Source organism: Homo sapiens, chromosome 8, assembly GCF_000001405.40.
Source record: "Homo sapiens chromosome 8, GRCh38.p14 Primary Assembly".
In the NCBI taxonomy this organism is placed as follows: Eukaryota; Metazoa; Chordata; class Mammalia; order Primates; family Hominidae; genus Homo; species Homo sapiens.
In genome coordinates, this window is record NC_000008.11 from 131990818 (window position 1) to 132004320 (window position 13503).

At 36.5% G+C, this 13503-nt stretch overlaps 1 protein-coding gene across 11 annotated transcripts in view; it reads left to right on the forward strand.

Moving 5' to 3' along the window:
• The window catches only part of EFR3A (EFR3 homolog A), a 109550-nt gene that overhangs the window by 86725 nt on the left and 9322 nt on the right, over positions 1–13503 (forward strand). For 8 of the 11 annotated variants that reach the window (NM_001323555.2, NM_001323554.2, NM_001323553.2 and 5 more), the window contains 4 exons: positions 5589–5680; positions 10942–10990; positions 11786–11889; positions 12419–12468. In NM_001323555.2, the coding sequence (NP_001310484.1) occupies positions 5589–5680; positions 10942–10990; positions 11786–11889; positions 12419–12468 (295 nt within the window). Of the gene's footprint in view, positions 1–5588; positions 5681–9951; positions 10182–10941; positions 10991–11785; positions 11890–12418; positions 12469–13503 lie in introns of those variants that run through there. The other 3 variants (NR_136615.2, NR_136616.2, XM_047421604.1) reach the window with 2 other exon arrangements.

Genomic DNA, 13503 nt, shown 5'->3' on the forward strand with positions numbered 1-13503 from the left:
ATTGGTATGGAGAGACAAGAAGAAAGCCAGGGATTTTGTCCAGGATTCTGGCTTGGGCACTTGAGTGAATGGTGTAAAACTGAGGGGACGCATAGGATTTACTTACCATTTCATTTGCTTGTTTTTTTGTGTGTGTTTTGTTTTTCTGGGAGGGATGACAGATATAGCTGGTGTATTAGTCCATTTTCACACTGCTGATAGAGACATACCAGAGACTGGGCAATTTACAAAAGAAAGAGGTTTAATTAGACTTACAGTTCCACGTGGCTGGGGAAGGTCTCACAATCATCATGGCAGAGGGTGAAAGACAATTCTTACATGGCAGTGGCAAGAAAGAATGAGGAAGAAGCAAAAGCAGAAACCCCTGATAAACCGATCAGATCTCATGAGACTTATTCACTATCACGAGACTAATGTGGGAAAGACCAACCCTCATGATTCAGTTACCTACCACTGTGTCCCTCCCACAACAGGTGGGAATTCTTCAGATGCAATTCAAGTTGAGACTTGGGTGGGGACACAGCCAAACCATATCAGCTGCGTTCAAGTGAAGAAGGAAAGAAGTACATATTTCAGCTGAAACTCTCTATAAGTAGTTTTGAATCTGTGGTGGTAGAAGGATAGAGTTTTTATTAATAGAAATGAATAGGAAAAAGTGGCTGGTTTTGGAGATAAACCTCTTGTTGAGTATCTTTGACAGTGGAACATGCAAGTAAAGTAGCTTGTAGGCAGTTAGGAGATAGGACTGGGTTTTGTGTGAGGGTTAGGAGGTTATAATGAAAATTTTAAAAACAGCAACATAGGGGATTTTGCTAAAGCCTTCAGGGAGGATGACTTCTCACAGTGAAGGCATGGAGAGAAAGAGGATGGAATGGCTTTAGACAGTTCTCTTTTCCTGAGGAGAGGCCATGTTGGGAAGGAACGTAAAGCTCCAAAGCCGAAAGTCTCAAGAAAGTGAAAGGAAAGTAAGGTAATGTTGGAATGTGGGTGCTAGGAAGTTGGGGGGTGAGAAGGCAGGTAGAGGAGCTTCCACAAAGGGAAAGGTGGCACAAATTGCTGAAGCTTCAGAGAAGTAGAAAATTGATTAAGACCTTCCTTTGGATTTTCCTAGAAGGTGATTATTGATCACCTTTGAGACAACACTATATTTCCTTTTTGTTCTCAATGATTTTGCCGCTCAGTGACCCCTTTCCTGCCCCCATACTTGTCTTTTCTTTTTTATTATTGGCTTCAACATGACTCTCTTTCTGCAACCCCTCAGCTTTCATAAATTAACCCAGAAATTATTTTATAGCCTCCTTTGAGAGAAGCCCTTATTTTCACTTCCGGTGAGACCTTGAAAGTTAATTTACCTAGATGCTATAAGCAGATCAGCAGGCATGACCACATACTGCTTTGTGGCAATTCCATTGATGTCTTTATGTCCAGTTATTTGTATCAAAGCATATGATTATGAAGGAAAAACAAAAAATACAGGGTCTAGGTTAACTCAGCAGTAGCCACATGCAGGATATAAAATATTCTCATCCTGAAAATTCTTGCAAAACAATGTGTCCTGTTTTGTTGCAGTTGAGTATGTACTGATTCTGTACCTTCAGCCTTCATGCAGTAGAACCTGGATGACTTTTGTATGGGAGATACAAAACCCAGAGTCTCACTGAATTTTGTGTATGGATATATAGGTCAGACATCAGTGTACATGACGGTAGTACAAGGGTGAAGGATGATGGAAGGGAAGTTCATTAATAACTGGTAGTAAGTTTTTGTAGCTCAGAAGAAAGAGGGACAAGTAGAAATAATTGGAGTAATATTTAACACTTTAAGGAAGCGATGTGATGTTCAGATAGGCCTTGAAAGATAATCTCTGTAGTGAAGAGGATGACGAAGGGCAGGTAATGACATGATTCTAGAAAGCAGATATCCCACAGCGTGCACAGAGGTTAGAAAACAGGCATCTTTGAGTTGAACACTAGATTAATTAGGGAAGGTTGAAGTTACTGTTGGTAAGATCTGATGAGAGAGCCTAGAATGTCCTTTTAATTCACAAGCAGTTTGGGGGGCATGGCTTGGGAAGTTATGTGGTTAGTGTTTTAAGAAGCTTAGTTAACATGGTGGTGACATACAGGTAAAATTGTAGAAAGGTCTGTCAATAGGATGGACTGAGTTACTGGTTCTCAGCTAAGGGTGACTTTTGCAATCTTGGGGAAATTTTTAGTTGTCACAACTGGGACAGAGAGAGATGAGATAGGCCTATTGGCATCTAGTGCATAGAAGCTAGGAATGCTGCTGAACATCTTATAATACAAGGGACAGCTTCCCACAACAAGAATTATGTGGCCAAAAATGTCCATAGTGTCAAGGTTAAGAAACCCTAGCTAGGTTATGCTATAGTAGCAAACAACCCCAAGTTCTTAATGGTTTGAAACAGTAAAGATTTATTTATTGCTCAGACTCGCTGTACATAACTATACATCATCCACATTCTGGAATCCAAGCTAATGGAGCTACCACTGTCTGGCACATTACTCATACTGTATTGGCCAGGACTTGTTACAGAACCCCTCCTAACCACAGAGAGGACAGAAATTGCAATCCTGTCACATCCCCAGAAAGGGGCAAACTGTAATATTGACTAACAGCATTAGTTACAACCATGGAAGGCTGTCTTGGAGTAGAGGAGTTGTCAGTAAGAGAGAAACCAGTTTCTTGCTGATTGCTGTTAATTCTTCATTCTTTGCCCCTTCAGGAAAGTAAAATCACAGTATATACAGAATGGGATTAGAAAGATGGAGCATAGGCTGGGCACAGTGGCTCACACCTGTAATCCTGGCACTTTGGGAGGCCGAGGTAGGAGGATTGCTTGAAGCCAAGAGTTGAGACCAGCTTGAGAAAAAAAAAAAAATACCCCATCTCTGCAAAAAGTTAAAACAAAAAATTTAGCCAGTTGATTCCATGTCTTTGCTGTTGTGAGCAGTGCTGCAATGAACATAGGCGTGTGCAAACCAACACAGTAACAGAAAACCAAATACCACATGTTCTCACTTGTAAGTGGGAGCTGAATGATGAGAACACACAGACACATAGAGGGGAACAATGCACACTGGGACCTGTTGGAGGGTGGAGGGTGGGAGAAAGGAGAGCATCCAGAAAACAACTAATGGATACTAGACTTAATATGTGGGTGATGAAATAATCTGTACAACAAACCCCCATGACACAAATTTATGTGTATAACAAACCTGCGCATGTACCCCTGAACTTAAAAGTTAAAAAAAATTAACTGGGCACGGTGGCACATGCCTGTAGTCCTGACTACTCGGGAGGCTAAAATGGGAGAATCACGTGAGCCCAAGAGTTTGAGGCTGCAGTGAGCTCTGATCACACCACTGTACTCCAGCCAGGGTGACAGAGAAGAGACACTGTCTCAGGAAGAAAAAAAAAAAAGAGAGAGAAAGATGAAGTGTTGCCACATGATACAGTAACTCTGCTGTTACACTGATTCTAGACCTGAGCTTCCCTACTGTTTTGGGGGAACATTATAGGTGTGTCTGGGTACTGTTCTCCTTAGCTCTTCAGGTAGCTGGAGAGGGCCTGGGGCAGTCTGAGCCTGCAATATGAGCAGGCCCTTCCATTTATCTCTGTGTACCATGCATGCATTATAATTTAATGTGTGCAGTGAGGTAGAAAACCTTGGGAACTCTGCATTAAGCAGTGGGCTGCATTTGTTTAACAATTATAATTAGGACTGAAAATGATCTGTTTTAGAAAACTCTATTGGTAGTATAGAAGGGAGAAACATACTAGAAGACCCACTTGAAAGCTATACTAAGAGTTTAGGTAAGAAAAGATGAAGATTTTGAACGATGACACTCTTGAAAATAAATAGGACAATGTGGAGATAAAGATGGCTTATTTAGAGATGCGGAATTGGATTTAGAACATGTCAAATAGAATTGATTAATAAGAAACTGGAAATGTTGAACTCAGAAAAGGAGGTGCCGGAATCCTGCTCAGTCACACAAGTATTTATGGAGTACTTACTAGGTGCCAGCTGCAACCCTAATAGTACCTGGGAACTCTTTGAGAGAGTTAGAAGTCCTGGGATGTGACCTGGGTGAGTACATTCTTTTTAGGACTGGGAGTAGAACAGTAGCCAGCTTGGCATCATTGTCACCCTTTCTGAATTCTCTTCTGTATCATAAAGGAAAAATTGGAACTATGTTTTTTCAGAATCAGAGACTGACAATGAAAAGCACTCAGAAAAATTTGCAAGTAGAAGAGGAAAAACTATTATCTTTGAAAGACAGTGTAGCATTCAAATGGGTGGAGATCAGACTAGAAGCTTCCAGAGCTTCTTGAGAATTACCATCTCCATGCTGCAGACTGAGACTATCCGATGGCTAGCCTAACTTTTACTCACTCAGCTTTCCAAGGGTTGAATCAGCCTCTAATTCTATATGTTAGAATACACAAAGTGACTTCCTTTTTTCGACTGTAATCATGATTATTTGATATTTTCCTACCATCCTGTACTTTCATCACACTTTAATAATTTGTGTGATTTTATTGTATATTTTTCCTGTTAAACTGTAAGCTGCACGGGATGTGTAATGTCTATTCAGCAGACTGTCCCTAACACCTAACAGGGTCTCTAATCACTTCCTAGATTTGTTGAGTATTGAATGCTAAAGTAGAAAAACAGAAGTAGAAAAGAAGGTATGTAAGGACATTATGATCAACAAATTCAAATGTTCATGAAGTGGTTAAGCAGAAAATGGGCTAGGAATAGCTTTTGAATTTAGTGATTTGGAAGACCGTGGAATTTTATTTAAAAGCGCTGTCAGAAGAGTGGTTGGGGTTGGGATTATAATTACAGGACTTCAGCATAGTCAGTAGTGAAAAATCAGAGCAATTTGTTCAGACTGTACAAATGAATTGGGGGCACAAAAGTAGATTAGCTAGAGCACTCAGGTAAAGACAACATCTTTCTGGAGAAGTGGTCAAATTATAAAGCAAAATAACAACAGCTGATGGAGATGACTGAATGGACAATGCTGGAGGAGATATTAATTGAAACAGCAAATTCTTTCAGCCCACAAATTGTAATGCACTGTAAACACCTTTAGACATTGCTTCCCAAACTGTCATCCTAGAACCAGAGTTAGCTGACAGCTTTCACTGTTTCGTGAAAATATTAGAGATATAAGGGCAATATTGTCAGTTTTCATTTAGGCTAAATGTATTAAGTTTAGATTATGTACTTCCTTCATTTGCTGTTACATTGACTTGCTTTTTTTAATTAAACTATTTGGTAGTGGTTGTTGATGTTGCTGTCCTAAATGCCCCTTTTTGAAAAATAAAAATCCGATAACCTTATTTCAGTTCACCTCATCAATTTTACTTTTTAATCTGCTTCACGAAATGTAAAAGTCCGAGAACACGCTGCTTTTATGTATTTAGAAGGAACAAAAAAGACAAACTGTCTGAATTTTTTGACAGTTTTTGAAATCTGAAATAAGTAGAGTTTATAAATGAAAACCAACATAACATTTCTAGCAAATAATGGGAAGAAAACAATTTTATTTTAGATGAAGATCGACTTTCTAGAAGAAAAAGCATTGTGGACACCGTATCCATTCAGGTGGATATTTTATCCAACAATGTTCCTTCTGATGATGTGGTAAGTTACTGAAAGTTTATGGTAGAGTACTGTCTTGGTAGACATCATTTAAAAGAATTTTTTGCCTTCCACACTTTCGAACAGGAGGAAATACAACTCTAAATTATCCTCAAATCAACTAAATTATTAGTAGAAATTAATCTGATTTAGCTTTGAATTTATTTATAATTTATTTTACTGAACTCATTTCAGCTGTCTGTAAAGATATATAAACCTAACATTATATGTTATGATGTCAGATTTCACATTATAATTTAGTGTAATAAAAGGAACTGTAAAGTATAAGATTTTTTTGCTAAGAAACTTTATACAAAGCCTGTCATTAAATTAGTGGGCCCTCTAGGTCCTACTTATTTTTAAAAATTTAGGAAATGCAAATTACAGAAATAAATAGAACTATACATCCTCATGTGAAGCCAAATGCTGACTACCTTTGAAAAGTTTTAAAACTGCATCTATAAGGGAAAATGTTTTAATTATTTTGGATAGTAAGGATGTTGTTTAAGCTGTGTCAGTGAACTATGTACTCTGTAAGGACTGTGGCTTATTTAAAACATCATAGATTTCATGCTCTCCTCCCGTTTCAAAAAAGCACAAGAGTGTACCCTCCTGACTTATAGGGGAAAAAGCAGCCAGTATTCTCTAGGACTTATTCTACACAAATCACCAGAGAATTTTTTCATAGTCAAGTAAAAATGCCAAAATGCCAGCATGTCAAGTCAACCTCCACCTTGTGGTTTATCCATTGTTTGCCTTCCTAAGTATTTTATTATTTCTCATTGGTACAATATGCATAATTAAAAGAATATCCATATAGGGAAAGGGAAAGGAAGTTAGCTGAATTATGCTTTCTCAAGCCTCCCTCCTACCCCCTTACAATTCCTATTGATTTATTTGTCTTCAGGTACTAAACCTATTTGGTGGCCAGAGTACAGCCAACTGACTTATGTTTTCTATGCCATTCAACTTCCCATTACATAGAAGTTATGTTTTATTAAGAACTTATCAGCACGGCATCAAGAGTAGTTGAAGAAGCACTTAGTGTTCATTTTGAAACTCAACGCATTAAGTCTAAAGTTTCTTACCAGTTTAAGGCTTAATAACAACTTTTCCCAAATTCACCTCTTTCTTCAGAGCTATTTAATTTATACACTCCTTACCAGTAAGAAGAGTATCTTGCTAGTTCTGTCTTTTAATGATTATGAATTTGCCACTATTACCTTTCTAGGGAAGAAATTCATCCAGAGTCTTAGATTATAAACTTAATTTTGTTAAGGGGACACTATGTGTTATTGACTGGTATTTTCACCTTTCTCCTTTTGTTAACTATTCTTACTTCTTTCAAAAATATATAGAGAACACTTGAAACTGTTGGAAAGAGTCAGTCTATTTTGATAAAATCAACTGAAAAAACATTTGCATAAAGACTCAATGTAGGGGAAAGATTCTTGACACAAATCTTACATTAAAAGTCTGTTAATATTTTTATTAACTTTTACAAGATCCTGTTGTTTTTCATTTACTATAAGTCCTAAGTCAAATATGCCTCACACCAAGCATCTGAAAAGTTAAGTACAGTTTAGTGTCACATTTGCTTGAGCACATTTGAGTTTCAGATTCATTTACCATTGTGGAATCTGCTTTTGGATATTAGAGATGTTTGTTCAAATACCAGAAGACAGAATAATACTATCTTCTAGGCTAAAACTAATTAATTACTTTCATATAATGGACAGGAGAAATTCACATCAGATAGATATTTTACCAGTTAATGGTGCAGCAGAATATCAAACTATTTTCTTAAAATGAATCAGATAAGAACATTGCTCATAAAAAATAACTTTTTTGTTTGATCAAAATTATTTATAGTTTTATATGTATAATCCTAGTTTATCCTGAGATGTATTTGCTTTTGCTTTTTAAACTTATAATTTAAAAAAAAAGAGAGAGAGTCAGAAGGTTGTTTAGATGGAGACCATAACAAACTTCTGTTTCCCTAAACTCAAATTGTTACTCTAGTCTATTGAAATACCTGATCCACTTGAGATCTGCCAGTTCTGACATTTGCAATTCCAACCTTGGCCTACTGAGAATCATTTGGTGAACTTTTTCTAAAAGTTGCCATATATAAAAAGATGTATATTATTATTTCTTCTAAATAATGCATTATTTCTTCTAAAAATGTGCTGATGCCATAAAATGTATTATTGATATTTTTATCATAAAGCAGTTGATTTTATACCTTTTACATATCTCAAAGCAAGAGGGAGATTTGAGAGACTCAAGGTAAAAGGTATTTTTAGAGAGTATAAATTGGTGGTTGACTTTAGACGAATGCTTCCCAATGCATATATATGCACACTACACATATATATGCATATATGTGTGTATACACACACATTTTTATAACGATACCTAATTTAAATTAACGTATTCAAGAAGATAAATGACTAAAATAGAACAGAGGCATCTCTGTCTCCTGAGATAAAATTATCAGCTTGACTAATAGAATAAAGCACTATAGGCATGATTTTTTGCTTCCTTATATATGCATAACTGATATGAGTAAAACCTGAAATCACCACACTACTCTTCTCTCTAAAAGCTTATAGTAAGTGCTTGATTATTTAAGGGCATGGGCAGGATGTTATATATATTAAATTTTGAGTATATGTTAAATTTTTTGATATAAAATTAAGTCACTGGTTGACTGTAAAAGATTGTTGTTTTTTCTATTACAAATAACAGATCTTTGTTTTATATCCATCTACTCCTGCCTTTTTTCCCCAAATGCAACTGGAGAAACTTGTGTGTATGCTAGCATCTAGTCAATATTAGTCACACTCTGTGGTGCTAGATGCTATCAAATTACTATATTAGTAGTAGTGACATAGCAACTACTATAATTAGAAAAAGATGAATGGCAGATTTTATGTAGGCCCAAGGGCATTATATAGTCTAGGTTAGTGTTGTAGATCATAGATAAAGCAAAAGTCATAGATTATAAAGGGAATGTTGAAATTCCTTTAGGATGGTGCCTTTGCACCACTTCTCTATAACTCCAACATAACCAGTTTTCCCTCTATAGAGTTGGAACAGATTATAGTTTAGTAGCTCACCAAATAAAGTACGTAGCTTGTATTTACCAGCTATGGTATATAAAAATATGAATCATTAAATGCTAGTATAAAGCAGTTAGTCTTAAAAAAAAAAAAAGATCCACAAAAGGGATGAGTGGGAGATAAGATTGAAGCAAAATTATAGAAAGTTGTATACCAGGCTGAGGGCTTTCTGTGTCACTTCACAGGAAGTAGGTAAACACCGAAATTTAGTCAGTGTCATTATTAGAGTTGTGCTTTCATAAAAAGAATCTCTCAAGTGTGACAAGGCTAAATTAGAAAGAAGAGACTGGAGGTAGAGGCCAGTTAGGAGATCCTTGTAATAATCCACAGTTGATGGAATGAGGATCTAGAGTAGCCAGGCTGGAGGTAACAAAGAGGGACAGGAGGGCAGGAGTACTCTACTTTAAAGTAGAATGAATAGGACCAACAAATGACTTAAAGGGATTTAAAGAAAGGAGACATTAAAAAAAAGAAAAAATGTAGACACTGATGGCATGACTTAGGGGTTCTTTTTTTGTTTGTTTTTTGAGACGGAGTCTTGTTCTGTCACCCAGGCTGGAGTGCAGTGGCGCGATTTCGGCTCACTGCAAGCTCCGCCTCCCGGGTTCACGCCATTCTCCTGCCTCAGCCTCCTGAGTAGCTGGGACTACAGGCGCCTGCCACCATGCCCAGCTAATTTTTTGTATTTTTAGTAGAGACGGGGTTTCACCATGTTTGCCAGGATGGTCTCGATCTCCTGACCTCATGATCCACCCGCCTCCGCCTCCCAAAGTGCTGGGATTACAGGCGTGAGCCACTGTGCCTGGCCGACTTGGGGGTTCTTGATGCTAGGAAGCTGCATCATAATTATCTGAATTAAGGCAAACAGGGACAAAAAGTGAAGAGTTAGTAGGGTAAGGTATTTTAGCTCTTTACTTACCTGAGATTGACAGGTGATAAGTAAAAATTATATGTATCAAGAATGCTGGCCTTCTAACTTCTCCCATGTTCTTTTTCCTCTACTGTAGTTGTGTCTCAAAAGTCAGAAGCTCCTAGCCAGTTCTAAGAACAAAAGCAATTTCTTTTTTTCACTGAAGTACTAGAATGCTTATAAGTACAAATAATTGACCAGCCAGAGCCTAATCTTACATGTCTGCTCCGAATATCTAGAACAAAACAACAGAAGATTCCCAAGTTTAATCTGACTTCAACTAGAACTATGAAGCTCAGTAGCAAAACTGAGGGAGTGGAACTCTTGCTGCTTGATTTCCAGCTAAAGCCTTTGTATTGCAGAGAAGCTAAGGTGCAGAGAATGACGTCTTTTGCTTTCATTAGTCTTGCTGCCTTAGACTTAGCAAAAGAAGCTCATGAGCTAAAATTAGGGATGACCAGATTCCCAGGCAAGTACTCATGTATCGTTTCTTAATTTTTATTCAGAGATACTATAGGAACTGGATATATTATTTATCCTAAGAATGTGCTGATGCCATAAAATGTATTACTGACTTTTATCATAAAGCGGTTGATTTCATACCTTTTTATGTATCTCAAAGCAAGAGAGACTTGAAAGACATAAGTTAAAAGGATAGTTTCAGAGATTATAAATTGGTGGTTAACTTTAGAGAAATACTTCCCAAAGTAGTGGTTCTAACTTTTAAATCATTTAAAATCTTAGTTTTCCTTTTGATTTGTAAACTGTGTGTGGTACCAAAATCATAGAGGCTGTAAAGTACTTAGTTGTTTTTTATCACATGGCTAAAAATGTATTTATGTATAATCTCAGCCTTCACTCTCTCAGAGCATTGTTTACTTACAACACAGTGTTCAGTCAGTGGGACTCAAATCTTCTTGTACATCACAGTACTGGGACTGAGTTCTGTAATTCAAGGGTGGTTTTGTTGCCTAGGGTATGTTAATTATTGCAGTCTAATGCTAATCTATAGACTTGTTTTGGGGAACCACTGCAGTAAGCCATTGTTAGAACCAATGAAAAAGTGGAGATTATTTGGTACTGTGGAGTATAATCACAGCTCACAGCTCAGACCCAACACAAAGAAGAAAACAAATCTGAAAAACTTCTTAGATGACTTGTAACTAGGTAAAGGTGTTATTTATATTGACCCTTTTTAACTCTCGATTTCACTTATCACTTTTCTCTAGGTTAGTAACACTGAAGAAATCACTTTTGAAGCATTGAAGAAAGCAATTGGTGAGATATTTTGCACTTGTTAGTACTACCAATATTTAACTTATCTTTATCTGCTGCTTTTTTCGATGACAGAATACGTAGAGGGGACATTACAAAAATAAACCAAAGAAACTTGTTGGCTTCTATAGACATGTATCATTTATTTAGCTACATGTTTTAGGCTTCAGAATTGTCTTGTCCCTTCAGGGTCATATTCCTGAACAAACAGACACAATTATGGCAGTGATATAAAAGAAGACATTTATTAATTTACTTTCTCACAAACTTTGGCCAGACCATACGTCATCATAAGACCAAGAAAATTCCTTTCCAAATTGTGGTAAATAAATGGAAAAGGCTACAACAACATGGTTCCAAATGACCCCATTCTTATTTCAGTTATTCCACTCAGTACCAAGATTCAATTTAGCAAATATTTTATGTAGTACCTCGTATGTGCAAGAACGTAGTTGTATAAAAGAATCATCCTTCAGGAAGGACTGTGAAGTAGTTCGACTTGTAGGAAGCTCCCATTCCCTTGCCATTTTTTGGTAAGAGAGACAAAGGCATTCTGTGAAAGAGAATCTTGTGATGTGTAGTTTTAACCCTTAGATTTTTTTGGGTTTTTGTGTGTGTGTGCTTTCTAGCCTTAAACAAGACATTTCATGGATGTTAGGCCTTTTTATTTTTTTCTTATAGAAGCCCTGTAAATTGCCCTTAATTTTGGATGATATATCATTAACTCTTAACGGTCATTGACTGGGTTCTGTGAAATTATGTATTCCCTTTAATAAGTCTTTATAAATATTTGTATAGATACCAGTGGAATGGAAGAACAGGAAAAGGAAAAGAGGCGTCTTGTGATAGAGAAATTTCAGAAAGCACCTTTTGAAGAAATAGCAGCACAGTGTGAATCCAAAGTAAGTGAAGAAACGGTGAAGGGCTTGTGGGTGGACTGTTGTTTTGTGGAAACTCTTCCTTGGTGATTAGTTGATAAGTTCCAAGCTTTAGTCAAATCAACGGAACACAGGAAAATATATCAGATAAGGACTGAAACTCTGAAGGCATATCTATGAGACCTAAATAATTTCTTTGTATGATGTAAGCTGATGGAAATAGTGGAACTGTTTTCCCAAATTAAGTATTAGTGATTGTTATTGTTTTGATAGTTTTTTGCAGTGGTTTTCCATGATTTTGCTGCAGGTATTTTGTTTTATGTGTTTGTTGATATGTTTTTAACATTGAGACGAGGAAAGGGAAAAAAAGACAACCCTTACATTAAATTCTAATAGATAAGACAGATCAAACCAAAACTTTAAAGCATTGTGTACTTAATAATTAATCAGCTTAATAGTCACAATTATACTTTGTCTCTTAAGTTACATTGATATTATTATATATAGATACCTAGAAAATAAACCATTCTTAACATTTTTTTCTTTTTTGCAGGCAAATTTGCTTCATGATAGACTTGCCCAAATATTGGAACTCACCATACGGTAAGGGTTTTGTTATCACAATAGCAATAACACACACACACGAATAGAAACTGACAGACCCCTATGAATTTGTGGTTCATTATGTTTAAGTTATCATGTTAAAGTAATGCTTTTCATTTAGGATTAACATAAGATCATATAGGTGATCCTTTGCTTAATAGTGATTCTGTTTTTTAGGCAGAGTCTGATACCCTTTCTTGACTAGTTGTCCTCTAGCTTTTTAGCTTCTTTTTTAGATTATTCATTCCTTCCTGATGATCTCTTAAGTACATCTGGGTAATTTAAAAAAGACCCATATTCTAATATTATGCTTAATTAGGAAATTGCTCATATTGAATCGTTTTGTCCTGCAGAAACTGCATTTTAATATGTCAGCCTCATGGTTCTTTTCAGGGCAGTAATAAGTCTACTTATGCAGATAGCTCATTTGAATTATTGAACTTTCCTTTAGTTTTTGTACATCATATTCATTTGAGTTCTGTTGTGAATTATTATGCTCTTTGATTATCCTATGTCTATACATTAATAAGAAATGTAGCACCTGAAGGAAGGAGAGGCAAACTCTAGGTTCCATCTAAAGAAGGAACTTCCACATAGTCTTACATTGACTTCAGTGTGGAAACCTGCCTTTGTGAGAGGTGGCCAGTAGAGATGTCTATGCTTCTGGAAATTTTTTCTATATCTGGCATATCTTTCATATTTTTAACTTGATTAATTAAGTCTGTTTTTCTTCAACCCTGTATTATATTAATATTAGAGACAGGTAAATGCTCTAGGCCACTTGCTTTTTTGTTTCAGTCTTTTTTCTGCTTTCATAAGCAAGGCACATTTTTGTCATTATATATCTTACTCTAGACATTTCCCTCCCATTCCTGCTATACTCTCTTAAGTTGAGAATCACTCATTTACAAAATTTAAGAACAGAAAATCAGACTAAAATATTCAATATGTGCTAGACAAGGGGTCCCCAACCCTCAGTCCAGAGACCTGTACTGGCCCATGGCCTATTAGGAACCAGGCTCCACAGCAGGAGGT